Source organism: Homo sapiens, chromosome 1 (genome assembly GCF_000001405.40).
Source record: "Homo sapiens chromosome 1, GRCh38.p14 Primary Assembly".
In the NCBI taxonomy this organism is placed as follows: Eukaryota; Metazoa; Chordata; class Mammalia; order Primates; family Hominidae; genus Homo; species Homo sapiens.
This window is the reverse complement of record NC_000001.11, coordinates 154,003,534-154,016,978: the sequence shown is the minus strand read 5'-3', so window position 1 is coordinate 154,016,978 and position 13,445 is coordinate 154,003,534. Positions and strand designations below refer to the sequence as shown.

General features: G+C 45.5%; 1 protein-coding gene across 8 annotated transcripts in view, besides 1 other annotated feature; it reads left to right on the top strand.

The window, feature by feature from the left end:
- The window catches only part of NUP210L (nucleoporin 210 like), a 162,427-nt gene that overhangs the window by 138,138 nt on the left and 10,844 nt on the right, over positions 1–13,445 (top strand). For all 8 annotated transcript variants that reach the window (XM_011510122.2, XM_011510123.2, NM_001159484.1 and 5 more), the window contains 2 exons: positions 4,609–4,735; positions 6,858–7,007. In XM_011510122.2, coding sequence (XP_011508424.1) covers positions 4,609–4,735; positions 6,858–7,007 — 277 coding nt within the window. The remainder of the gene's footprint in view (positions 1–4,608; positions 4,736–6,857; positions 7,008–13,445) is intronic.
- Positions 9,519–9,780: a silencer, noted in NCBI's record as "fragment chr1:153979675-153979936 (GRCh37/hg19 assembly coordinates)". NCBI's record gives its function as "represses an EF-1alpha promoter that drives an FKBP-Casp9 reporter gene in an ReSE screen in K562 erythroleukemia cells {active_cell/tissue: K562}" and the evidence as "EXISTENCE:reporter gene assay evidence [ECO:0000049][PMID:32094911]".

Below are 13,445 nucleotides of genomic sequence, written 5' to 3'. Positions count from 1 at the left end.
TTTGTTTTTTTTTGAGATGGAGTATCGCCCTGTTGCCCAGGCTGAAATGCAGTGGTGTGATCTCAGCTCACTGCAACCTCTGCTTCCTGGGCTCAAGCTATCCTCCCACTGCAGCCTCCCTAGTAGCTGGGACTACAGGTGCATGCCGCCATGCCCAGCTAATTTTTTTGTTTTGTTTTGTTTTGTTTTGTATTTTTGATAGAGATGGCATTTCACCATGTTGCCCATGCTGGTCTCGAACTCCTGAGCCCAAGTGATAGGCCTGCCTCGGCCTCCCAAAGTGCTGGGATTACAGGCGTGAGCCACTGTGCCCAGACAGAGTGACCTGAATGAATGTTTGATTGGAGAATTGGAGAAAAGGACTTGGAGACAGTGAATATAGAAAGCTCTTTTAAGGAGTTGGGGTTAAGAGTTTGTTTTGTGGATTTTTTTTTTTATGAGAGAAATAGTGGATTGGGAATGATTCAGTGGAAACAGAAAATTTGATGTAAGTCAGAGGATTGCTGGAGGGAGTAATATTCTTGAGTAGGTGAGATAGGTAAACAATAAAGGGATTTTTTTAATGAAATATTTTCTATTCCCTTCTTAAATATATGTAATGTCTCCTTCCTCTTTGCCCAAAGCACTTCTTTGATCCTCTTTTTTCATTCCTCAAACATGGTAGCTACAACTTTTTGTGTATCTACTATGGGCTTGGCACTTCTCATCTTTTTTTTTTCTTTTAAGAGACAGTGTCTCACTGTTGCCCAGGCTGGAATACAATGATGCAATCATGGCTCACTGCAGCCTCAAACTCCTGGTTTCAAGCCATCCTCCTGCCTCAGCCTCCAAAGTAGCAGGACCACAAGTGTGTGCCAGCATACCTGGCTAATTATTTTTATTTTTTTGCAGACACAGGGTCTCGCTATGTTGTCCAGGCTGGTCTCAAACTCCTAGATTCAGGTCATCTTTCTGCCTCAGCCTCCCAAAGTGCTAGGATTATAGGCATGAGCCACTGCACCTAGCCATCTATTTTTTTTATTTTTATTTATTTATTTATTTATTTATTTATTTATTTATTTATTTATTTATTGAGACAGGGTCTTGCTGTGTCACCCAGGCTGGAGTGCAGTGGTGTGATCTCAGATCACTCAGATCCACCTCCTAGGCTCAAGTGATCCTCCCACCTCAGTCTCCTGAGTAGCTGGGACCACAGGTGCACACCACCACACTCGGCTAATTCTGTGGGGTGTGTGTGTGTGTGTGTGTGTGTGTGTTTTGAGACAGAGTCTCACTCTGTTGCCCAAGCTGGAATGTAGTGGCGGAATCTCAGCTCACTGCAACTTTTGCCTCCTGGATTCAAGCAATTTTCCTACCTCAGCCTCCCATGTAGCTGGGATTACAGGCACCTGCCACCACACCCAGCTAATTTTTGTATTTTAGTAGTGACAGGGTTTCACCATGTTGGCCAGGCTTGTCTCGAACTCCTGACCTCAAGTGAGCTGCCCACCTCAGCCTCCCAAAGTGCTGAGATTACAGGCATGAGCCACTGTGCCCAGCCAATTTTTTGTGTTTTTGGATAGATGGGGTTTCACCCTGTTGCCCAGGCTGATCTCGAACTCCTGGGCTCAAGTGTTCTACCTGCCTCAGCCTCCCGAAGTGCTGGGATTACAGGTGTTTGCCACCACATCTAGCCCAGTCTTTTTTTTTTTTTTTTTTAACATCCAGTACACCTATCACTTTTAATTGTATCACTTTTAACTCTGCAAAATAAATATGTGGGGCATGGAGGGAGGGAGAGCATCAGGAAGAATAACTAATGGATGCTGGGCTTAATACCTGGGTGATAGGTTGATCTATGCAGCAAACCACCATGGCACACATTAACCTATGTAACAAACCTGCACATCCTGCACATGTACCCTGGAACTTAAAATAAAAGTTGAAGAAAAAAAAGTATTTTCCCAACTTTGTTTTATTTTATTTATTTATTTTTATAACAGAATCTCACTCTGTTGCCCAGGCTGGAGTGCAGTGGCACAATCTCTGGTAACTGCAACCTCCACCTTCCAGGTTCAAGCAATTCTCGTGCCTCAGCCTCCCAAGTAGCTAGGACTACAGGTGTGTGCCACCACACCCAGCTAATTTTTGTATTTTTAGTAGAGGCAGGGTTTTGCCATGTTGGCCAGGCTGGTGTCAAACTCCTGGCCTGAAATGATCTGCCTGCCTCAGCCTCCCAAAGCGCTGGGATTACAGATGTGAGTCACTGCACCCGGCCCCAACTTTATAGATGAGTAAGTTACTCAATATGTGTGCACATGGTATCTGGTGCCTTCTTTTGAGGAGCTCATAGTCTAGTGGTGACATAAACAATTACATACATGGCACAAATAATTACAATAGGCAAATAAAAGTACATGTTGTGCTTGAAGACTAATGAATAAATCAGGGCAACTTCAATACAAAATTAATAAGGGTAGAGAGGGAAAATTTGGATAACATCCAAAAAGAACTTGTATTATAAGCAGATAAGAGGTTCAAGGACAGAGGTAGCATGAAAAGAGTACTAGAAAAAGAGACTGAGAAGGGATTAGGAACCAGAAAAGCAAAGAGAAACAGTGTCATAGAAGGCAAAGGAGGAAATGGTTGTGGTGTTAGATGCTACAGGGAAGTCCAAAGGTCATTCCTATTCTAATTTGTGTACTTCATCGAATCCTCATTTAATATTCACTAATTAGCAGATACTCATTAAAGCCTATTAAGTGTCAGGCATTGTGCTGGCCTCCAGAAATACAAATATGAAAAAGACAAAATTCCTTTCTTTATTAAGCCATTAATGTAACTAACTTGGGTTTTAAGGTTCTTGAATTTAAAAAACCTGTGGTAATACTAAGGAGAATGTAGAGTATATTGCATTTAAATTTAAAATATTAAGGGCTGGGCATGGTGGCTCACACCTGTAATCCCAGCACTTTTAGAGGCCGAGGTCAGTGGATCCCTTGAGGTCAGGAGTTCGAGACCAGCCTGGCCAACATGGTGAAATCCCATCTCTACTAAAGATACAAAAATCAGCCAGGCATGGTGGCACGTGCCTGTAATCCCAACTACTTGGGAGGCTGAAGCAGGAGAACTGCTGGAACCCAGGACGCAGAGGCTGCAGTGAGCCGAAATTGCGCCAGTGCACTGTAGCCTGAGTGACAGAGCAAGACTCCGTCTCAAAACAAACAAACAAACAAACAAAAAAACTTACAATATAAGGCAGAATAGTACAAGTATTCTTGAGAAAAAACAATGTACTTTGAAGTTTCAGAAAAGATTGAGATTATGTGCAACTAGAGACAAAGAGAAAATGTCCTGAAGAAAGTTGCAGTTGTTTTTTTTGTGTGTTTTTTTTGTTTTTGTTTGTTTGTTTTGTTTTGTTTTTTTGAGATGGAGTCTCACTCTGTCGCCCAGGCTGGAGTACAATGGCACAATCTCAGCTCACTGCAGACTCCGCCTCCCGAGTTCAAGCAATTCTCCTGCCTCAGCCTCCCTGGTAGCTGGGATTACAGGCACGCTCCAACATGCCTGGCTAATTTTTGTATTTTTAGTAGAGGTGAGGTTTCGCCATGCTGGCCAGGCTGGTCTCAAACTCCTGACCTCAAGTGATCCACCCGCCTCAGCCTCCCAGAGTGCTGGGATTACAGGCATGAGCCACCGCACCTGGCCTCAAAGGCATTTTAATAGGGAGTCATACAAAGGGAAGATATGTCTGAAGGAATAATTGGACCCAAGACTTCCTTCTAGAAAAAATGTTATTTTGGGCTAGGCATGGTAGTTTATGCCTGTAATCTCAGCACTTTGGGAGGCCAAGGTGGAAGGATGGCTTGCGGCCAGGAGTTCTAGACCACCTGGGGCAACATAGTGAGACCCTGTCTTTTTTTTTTTTTGGAGTCTCGCTCTGAGCCACCGCGCCTGGCCAAGACCCCGTCTTTGTTTTTTTTTTTTTTTTTTGATTCAGAGTTTCACTCTTGTTGCCCAGGCTGGAGTGTAATGGCGCAATGTCGGCTCACTGCAACCTCTGCCTCCCAGGTTCAAGCGATTCTCCTGCGTCAGCCTCCTGAGTAGCTGGGATCACAGGCATGCACCACCAAGCCCGGCTAATTTTGTGTTTTTTTTAGTAGAGGCGGGGTTTCTCCATGTTGGTCAGGCCAGTCTGGAACTCCTGACCCCAGGTGAGCCGCCCGCCTCGGCCTCCCAGTGCTGGGATTACAGACGTGAGCCACCGCGCGCGGCTGACCCCGTCTTTTGTTGGTTAGGCATGGTGACACATACGTGTAGTCCCAGCTTCTCTAGAGGCTGAGGCAGGAGGATTGCTTGAGCCTAGGAATTTGAGGCTTCAGTCAGCCATGATCATGCCACTGCACTCCAGCCTGGGTGACAGAGCAAGACCCTGATTAAAAAAAAAAAAAAGTTATTTTGTCTTCAAAGGCAAACAGATTTTGTTGTTCTCAAATATGTGGTCATGAGATGGAATCTGTACTTGTGTGAAACAGATACTTTTGGTTAAATAAGTTATGAGGGGTGGATCTGGAAGGAGTCAGATTCTCTAGGAACTTAGGTGCAGATTTTCCTTTGATTTGCTGACAGGTGGTGGTCAATGCATCATCAAGATTAATGCTCAGTTATGACCTCAAGACTTATCTCACCAATACCCTCAATTCAACTGTATTCAAGCTCTTCATCACCACTGGCAGAAATGGTGTCAATCTTAAAGGTCAGGAATCTCTTCATGGTTTCAGTGATTGTTCCTATCTTTCTCGTTTTCCCTCAATTCATTTATCCCTTTGGATTAGTAATCCAGATTTTCTTTTTATTTCAAAACTGACTCCATCTTGACAAATAAATCATAGAGCTCTATGAGACCTCAGAAATTATGACTAGACTAAGGTTTTAAAATAGGCTCATCCTAGTCACTATTGTCTTTCTAGTTTTAAAAATACAAATTTTAGGCCGGGCGCGGTGGCTTACACCTATAATCCCAGCACTTTGGGAGGCCAAGGCAGGCAGATCACCTGAGGTCGGGAGTTCAAGACCAGCCTGACCAGGAGTTCAAGACCAGCCTGACCAACATGGTGAAACCCCATCTCTACTAAAAATACAAAAACTAGCTGGGTGTGGTGGCGTGTGCCTGTATCCCAGCTACTTGGAGGCTGAGGCAAGATAATTGCTTGAACCCGGGAAGCGGGGGTTAGAGTGAGCCGAGATCGCACCACTGGACTCCAGCCTAGGCGGCAGAGTGAGACTCCATCTCAAAAAAAAAAAAAAAAAAAAAAAAAAACTTAAGATAATTTTAGTACTCTGGAGTGGTGGCTCATGCCTGTAATCCCAATTATTTAGGAGGCTGTGGTGGGAGGATCGCTTGAGGCCAGGAGTTTGAGACCAGCCTGGGCAACAAAGCAAGACCCCATCTCTCAGAAAAAAAAAAAAAATAGAGATGGCCAGGCGCGGTGGCTCACACCTGTAATCCCAGCACTTTGGGAAGCCGAGGCGGATGGATCATGAGGTCAGGAGTTCGAGACCAGCCTGGCTAAGATGGTGAAACCCTGTCTCTACTAAAAATACAAAAATTAGCCGGGTGCAGTGGCGGGTGCCTGTAATCCCAGCTACTCGGGAGGCTGAGGCAGGAGAATTGCTTGAACCCAGGAGACAGAGGTTGCAGTGAGCTGAGATTGTGCCACTGCACTCTGGCCTGGGCGACAAAGCAAGACTCCATCTCAAAAAAAAAAAAAAAAAATCTAGCCACCGTGCCTGGCCAACAGACTGACGTTTTATTCCCCAGAATCTTTCTAAAATCACTACTTATTTTATTGAGAAACCTCATGCATCAGTCCCTTTGATTTTGCTGAAGATTTTTCAAGAATGCCACTCATTGCAGCTGACCCAATGATAACAACAGTCCACTTCTTGCTGTCTATATGATTCCTCTTAAGGCACCACTTGTGATGAAGTTCTAGGGATTTGGGGCTTGAATTATATTGTAATTGTATTACAACATTGTATATGAAAAACAAATTCTCTTAGACCTAAAAGCTACCTCCCAACTGTACTGCTTTATTTTTATTTATTTATTTATTTATTTATTTATTTGAGACGGAGTTTCGCTCTTGTTGCCAAGGCTGGAGTGCAATGGCGCAATCTCGGCTCACTGCAACTTCTGCCTCCTGAGTTCAAGCAATTCTCCTGCCTCAGCCTCCCGAGTAGCTGGGATTACAGGCATGAGCCACCACCCCCAGCTAATTTTGTATTTTTAGTAGAGACGGGGTTTCTCCATGTTGGTCAGGCTGGTCTCGAACTCCCAACCTCAGGTGATCCGCCTGCCTCGGCCTCCCAAAGTGCTGGGATTACAGGTGTGAGCCACCGCGCCTGGCCTATTTTTAATAGATTTCTAACTTCCCTGTAATCTATCTTACTCCCACTGACGCCAGGCGTGGTGGGAGACACCTGTAATCCCAACTACTGGGGAGACTGAGGCAGGAAGAATTGCCTGAACCGGGAGATGGAAGTTGCAGTGAGCCAAAATCACACCACTGCACTCCAGACTGGGCGACAGAGCAAGACTTCATCTCAAAGATTTTTCAAAAAAAATCTTTGAAAAAAGACACTACCTATGTATGACATTGATAATGGAAGCCCCACTGTAGTCATTCACAAATTAGAATGCGAGGGTCTCACACTATTCTTTCACCTTGATTGAAGCAGAGGTGGGCAAACCAGCCATAACTGACCCTCTTTCTTGCTTATTTTTTTTATGCTTCAAAATTGCCTCCATATAATGGTCTCTCTTTTTACAAATTCTTGTTAGTGACAAAGCTATTTACCTCTTTTCTGCTTTTCAGGATTCTGTACCCCAAACCAGGCCTTGGCCATTACAAAAGTACTTCTTCCAGCGACCCTCATGCTGTGCCATGTACAGTTCAGTAATACTTTGCTAGACATTCCAGCAAGTAAAGTCTTTCAGGTCCATTCAGATTTCAGTATGGAGAAAGGTAAGTTACACCAGTTGAATCTGGTTTCCCCATTCTGTTTATCTATTTGTATAATTGTCCCATTCTTATTGGATTGCATTTATATCTGTAGTTTCATCTGATATATAACTGTGGAATCTTTGTCAGGCAACATTTTTGTTCAACCCGTTCAACTCTTTTTTCTTTTTTTTTTTTTTTTTGAGACTGGGTCTTGCTGTGTTGCCTAAGGCTGGAGTGAAATGGTGTGATCATAGCTCACTGTAACCTTAAACTCCTAGACTCAAGCAATCCCCCTGCCTCAGCCTCCTGAGTAGCTAGGACTACAGGCACATGCCATCATGCCTTTTTTTTTTTTTTTTTTTTTTTTTAAGAGCAACGTGATCTTCCTATATTGCCCAGGCTGGTCTCAAACTCCTGGCCTCAAGCAATCCTCCTGCCTCAGCCTCCCAAAGTGCTGGAATTACAGGTGTTAAGCCACTGCCCCCAGCCCTATTCAAATAAGTTTTAACACATGCCTCCTAGAATATCCTGTGCTTTTCTATTATAATTTACTATTTTCTTGCTAGTCCCCATTCACTCTGTGAGGCTCTGCATTGTGTCTCATTTATCTTTCATTCCCAGCATGTAGCACAGTGTTTGGATGTTTTGTTGAATTGAAAGATATTCCAAATAAAAGAATAGGATTAACAAGTGGAAAGTGGAAATAGGCATGATGTTAGGATGACTTTATGTAAATCAGCTTATCTAAAAATGAAAGGATTCATATCAAATGTAAGGTATAGGGCCAGGCGCAGTGGCTCACACCTGTAATCCCAGTACTTTGGGAGGCCGAGGCAGGTGGATCACCTGAGGTCAGGGCTTCGGAGACCAGCCTGGCCAACATGATGAAACCCCATCTCTACTAAAAATACAAAAATTAGCCAGGCGTGGTGGGAGGCACCTGTAATCCCAACTATTGGAGAGACTGAGGCAGGGAGAATTGCCTGAACCGGGGGATGGAAGTTGCAATGAGCCAAAATCACACCACTGCACTCCAGACTGGGCGAAAGAGCAAGACTTCATCTCAAAAAAAAAAAAATGTAAGGTATAAATAAGGTAGTGCTTCATCATGAGAGAACCTCTAATGCTAGATCAGGCAGTCTGAATGGTTTGGGTCATGAGCAACCACTGAAGGAAGGTTCATTCAGCAAACTGTTTATAATACCTGACAGCAGGAGAAGATGTGGAGTTACAAAGAAAAGCAAAGTAATTTTTGGTTTGTTTGTTTTTTTGTTTTGTTTTGTTTTTGAGACAGAGCCTCACTCTGTCTCCCAGACTGGAGTGCAGTGGCACGATTTCAGCTCACTACACCTCTGCCTCCCGGTTACAAGGTATTCTCCTGCCTCAGCCTCCTGAGTAGCTGGGATTACAGGCGCGTGTCACCACGCCCAGATAATTTTTGTATTTTTAATAGAGATGGGGTTTCACAATGTTGGTCAGGCTGGTCTCGAACTCCTGACCTCGTGATCCGCCTGCCTCAGCATCCCAAAGTGTTGGGATTACAGGCGTTAGACACCGTGCCCAGACATTTTTGTTTCTTTATTTTGTTTGCTTGTTTGTTTGTTTGTGTAGGGACAGGGTCTCCCTATGTTGCTCAGGCTGGTCTCAAACTCTTAGCCTCAAGTGATCCACCTCGGCCTCCCAAAGTGCTGGGATTATAGGCATGAACCACCATGTCCAGCCTAAAGCTTTTAACTTTTAGTGTTACCCTACCAGGTGATGAGTTACAGGGTAGACACATATATGTTTGTGACTTCAATTTATTGATGAAAAAATAAATCAGGCCGGGTGCAGTGGCTCACGCTCGTAATCCCAGCACTTTGGGAGGCCATGGCGGACAAATCACTTGAGGTCAGGAGTTTGAGACCAGCCTGGCCGACATGGTGAAACCCCATCTCTGCTAAAAATACAAAAATTAGCCAGGCATGGTGGCAGGCACCTGTAGCCCCAGCTACTCGGGAGGCTGAGGCAGGAGAATCACTTGAATCCAGGAGGCAGAGGTTACAGTGAGCCAAAATCGTGCCACTGCACTCCAGCCTAGGCAACAGAGCAAGACTCCGTCTCAAAAATAAATAAATAAGGCCGGGCGCAGTGGCTCATGCCTGTAGTCCCAGCACTTTGGGAGGCCGAGGCAGGCGGATCACGAGGTCAGGAGACCGAGACCATCCTGGCTAACATGGTGAAACCCTGTCTCCACTAAAAAAATACAAAAAATTAGCCAGGCGTGTTGGCAGGCGCCTGTAGTCCCAGCTACTCAGGAGGCTGAGGCAGGAGAATGGCGTGAACCCGGGAGGTGGAGCTTGCAGTGAGCCGAGATCGCGCCACTGCACTCCAGCCTGGGCAACAGAGTGAGACTCTGTTTCAATAAATAAATAAATAGAAAAAATATATAGGCCAGGTGCGATGACTCACGCCTGTAATCCCAGCACTTTGGGAAGCTGAGGCGGGTGGATCACCTGAGGTCGGGAGTTCACGACCAGCCTCACCAACATGGAGAAACCTGGCCTCTACTAAAAATACAAAATTAGTCAGGCATGGTGGCACATGCCTGTAATCCCAGCTACTAGGGAGGCTGAGGCAGGAGAATCACTTGAACCCAGGAAGTGGAGGTTGCGGTGAGCCAAGATGGCACCATTGCACTCCAACCTGGGCAACAAGAGCGAAAATCTGTCTCAAAAAAAATATATATATAAGCCCGGCGCAGTAGCTAACGCCTGTAATCCACCATTTTGGGAGGCCGAGGGGGGCAGATCACTTGAGGTCAGGAGTTTGAGACCAGCCTGGCTAACATGGTGAAACTCCGTCTTTACTAAAAATACAAAAATTAGCCAGGCATGGTGGCGGGCGCCTGTAATCCCAGCTATTTGGGAGGCTGAGGCAGGAGAATCGATTGAAATAGAAGGAGGAGGTTATAGTGAGCCAAGATCATGCCATTGCACTCCAGCCTGGGTGAAAGAGCGAAACTCCATTTAAAAAAAAAAAAAAAATATATATATATATATATATACACACACACACACACACACAGACATATGTGTATATGTGTATATATATGTATATGTGTATACATATGTATGTGTGTGTATGTATATGTATATATTTATATATATACATATATATATATATATATATATATGGCATGGTAAGAAAGCAGAAAGAGGCCAGGCATGGTGGCTCACGCCTGTAATCCCAGCAGTTTGGGAGGCCGAGGCAGGCAGATCACCCGAGGTCAGGAGTTCGAGACCAGCCTGGCCAACATGGTGAAACCCCATCTCTACTAAAAAATACAAAAATTAGCCGGGCATGGTGGCACATGCCTGTAGTCCCAGCTACTCGGGAGGCTGAGGCAGGAGAATTGCTTGAACCCAGGAGGCGGAGGTTGCAGTGAGCCGAGATCGTGCCACTTCACTCCAGCCTGGGCGGTAAGAGTGAGACTCCATCTCAGAGAAATAAATAAATAAATAAAAATAAAGCAGAAAGAAAGGAGGAGTATCTATATGAAACCTAGAGCCAAATTAAGTAAGGTTTTACAGAGGGAATGACCTTTAGAAGTATGACTAAGAGTGAACTAGATGTGAAGAGAACAGGACATTCCAGGCAATATAGGGCCCTAGAGAAGTTTGTTTTAGTTTTGGTTTAGTTTGTTTTTTTTTCCAAAAATAAGATGAAATCACTTGGGCCCAGGAGGTTGAGGCTGCAGTGAGCCATGATAATGCTACTACACCCTAGCCTTGGTGACAGAGCAAGACTCTGTCTAAATAAATAAATGAATAAAATAAAAATGAAGGCAGTTTTTGGCCAGGTGCGGTGGCTCACGCCTGTAATCCCAACACTTTGGGAGGCTGAGGCAGGTGGATTACCTGAGGTTGGGAGTTCAAGACCAGCATGATCAACATGGAGAAACCCCATCTCTACTAAAAATACAAAATTAGGGCGGGGCGCGGTGGCTCATGCCTGTAATCCCAGCACTTTGGGAGACTGAGGTGGGCAGATTACCTGAGGTCGGGAGTTCGAGACCAGCCTTACCAATGTGGAGAAACCCGTCTCTACTAAAAATACAAAATTAGCCAGGTGTGATGGCGCATGCCTGTAATCCCAGCCACTCAGGAGGCTCAGGCAGGAGAATCACTTGAACCCGGGAGGCGGAGATTGCAGTGAGCTGAGATCACGCCATTGCACTCCAGCCTGGGCAACAAGAGCAAAACGCTGTCTCAAAAAAAAAAAAGAAAAAAAAATACAAAAATACAAAATTAGCCAGACGTGGTGTTGCATACCTGTAATCCCAGCTACTCGGGAGGCTGAGGCAGGAGAATCACTTGAACCCGGGAGGCAGAGGTTGTGGTGAGCTGAAATCACATCATTGCACTCCAGCCTAGGCAACAGGAGCAAAACTCCATCTCAAAAAACAAACAAACAAACAAACAAACACTGGGCGCGGTGGCTCACACCTGTAATCCAAGCACTTTGGGAGGCCAAGGCGGTGGATCACCTGAGGTCAGGAGTTCAAGACCAGCCTGGCCAACGTGGTGAAACCCCGAATCTACGAAAAATACAAAAATTAGCCAGGCCTGGTGGCTCACGCTACTTGGGTAGTCCCAGCTACTTGGGAGGCTGAGGCAGGAGAATTGCTTGAACCCAGGAGACGGAGGTTGCAGTGAGCTGAGATCACACCACTGCACTCCATTTTGCCTGGGCGACAGACAAGACTCCATCTCAAAAAAATAAATAAATAAATAAATAATGAAGGCAGTTTTTAAGGATTTAGTGGCAGTATGTAGAATGGATAAGAAAAAGAAAAGAGGAGGCCGGGCACGGTGGCTCATGCCTGTAATCCCAGCACTTTGGGAGGCCGAGGAGGGTGGATCACAAGGTCAGGAGTTGAGACCAGCCTGACCAACATGGTGAAACCCTGTCTCTACTAAAAATACAAAAACTAACTGGGCGTGGTGGCACACACCTGTAATCCCAGCTACTCAGGAGGCTGAGGCAGGAGAACTGCTTGAACCCAGGAGGTGGAGGTTGCAGTGAGCCAAAATTATGCCACTACACTCCAGCCTGGGCGATAGAGTGAGATTCCATCTCAAAAAAAAAAAAAAAAAGAAAGAAAGAAAGAAAAGAAAAGAAAAAAAGAAAAGAGGAATAGCCTGGCCACAGTGGCTCATGCCTGTAATCCCAGCTACTCAGGAGGCCAAGGTGGGGGAATCCCTTGAGCCCAAGAGTTCAAGGCTGCAGTGAGCCGTGATCACACCACTGCACTACAGCCTGGGCAACAGATGGAGAACCTGTCTCAAAGAAAGAAAAGAGGAATAACGGCAGGGCATGGTAATCCCAGCACTTTGGGAGGCTGAGGTGGGCAGATCATTTGAGGTCAGGAGTTCAAGACCAGCCTGGCCAACATGGTGAAACTCTGCCTCTACTAAAAATACAAAAATTAGTAGGGCACCTGTAATCCCAGCTACGTGGGAGGCTGAGGCAGGAGAATCACTTGAACCAGGGAGGCAGAGCTTGAAGTGAGCTGAGATCGCACCACTGCACTCCAGCCTGGGCGACAGAACGAGACTTCGTCTCAAAAGAAAAAAAAAGAAGGCCGGGCGCAGTGGCTCACGCCTGTAATCCTGGCATTTTGAGAGGCTGAGGCAGGTGGATCACGAGGTCAGGAGATCGAGACCATCTTGGCTAACATGGTGAAACCCCGTCTCTACTAAAAATACAAAAAAATTAGCCGGGCGTGGTGGTGGGCACCTGTAGTCCCAGCTACTCGGGAGGCTGAGGCAGAAGAATGGCGTGAACCCAGGAGGCGGAGTTTGCAGTGAGCCAAGATCGCGCCACTGCACTCCAGCCTGGGCAACAGAGTGAGACTCCATCTCAAAAAAAAAAACAAAAAACAGGCAAGGATACCTGTGAAGGGGCAATAATGCAAGCATGAATTGATAAGGGTCTAGACCAGACTAATGGGTCTGGACCAGACTAGTAAGGGTCTAGCCCAGACTAATTATCCATAATTATCCAATTGCAATAATCCAAGCATGCATTGATAAGGGTCTAGACCAGACTAATAGAGAAATACTAAGAAGGGGCAGATGTCAGAGACATTTCAGAGAAGGAGTAAGCAAGATTTGGAAATGATTGGATATAGGGATGAAGGAAAGGATGTAAAGACAACTAAGGCCAGGTGCAGTGGCTCATGCCTATAATCCCAATGTTTTAGGAGGCTGAAGTGGGAGGATCACTTGAGCCCAGGAGTTTGAAACCAGCCTGGGCAACATAGCAAGACCTTGTCTCTCAAAAAATAAAATAGCCAGGCATGGTGGCGCGCACCTGTAGCCCTAGCTCTGAGGCAGGAAGATTGCTTGAGCCCAAGAATTCAAGGTTTCAGTGAGTTGTGATTGTGCCACTGCAGTCCGGCCTGGGCAAGAGCAA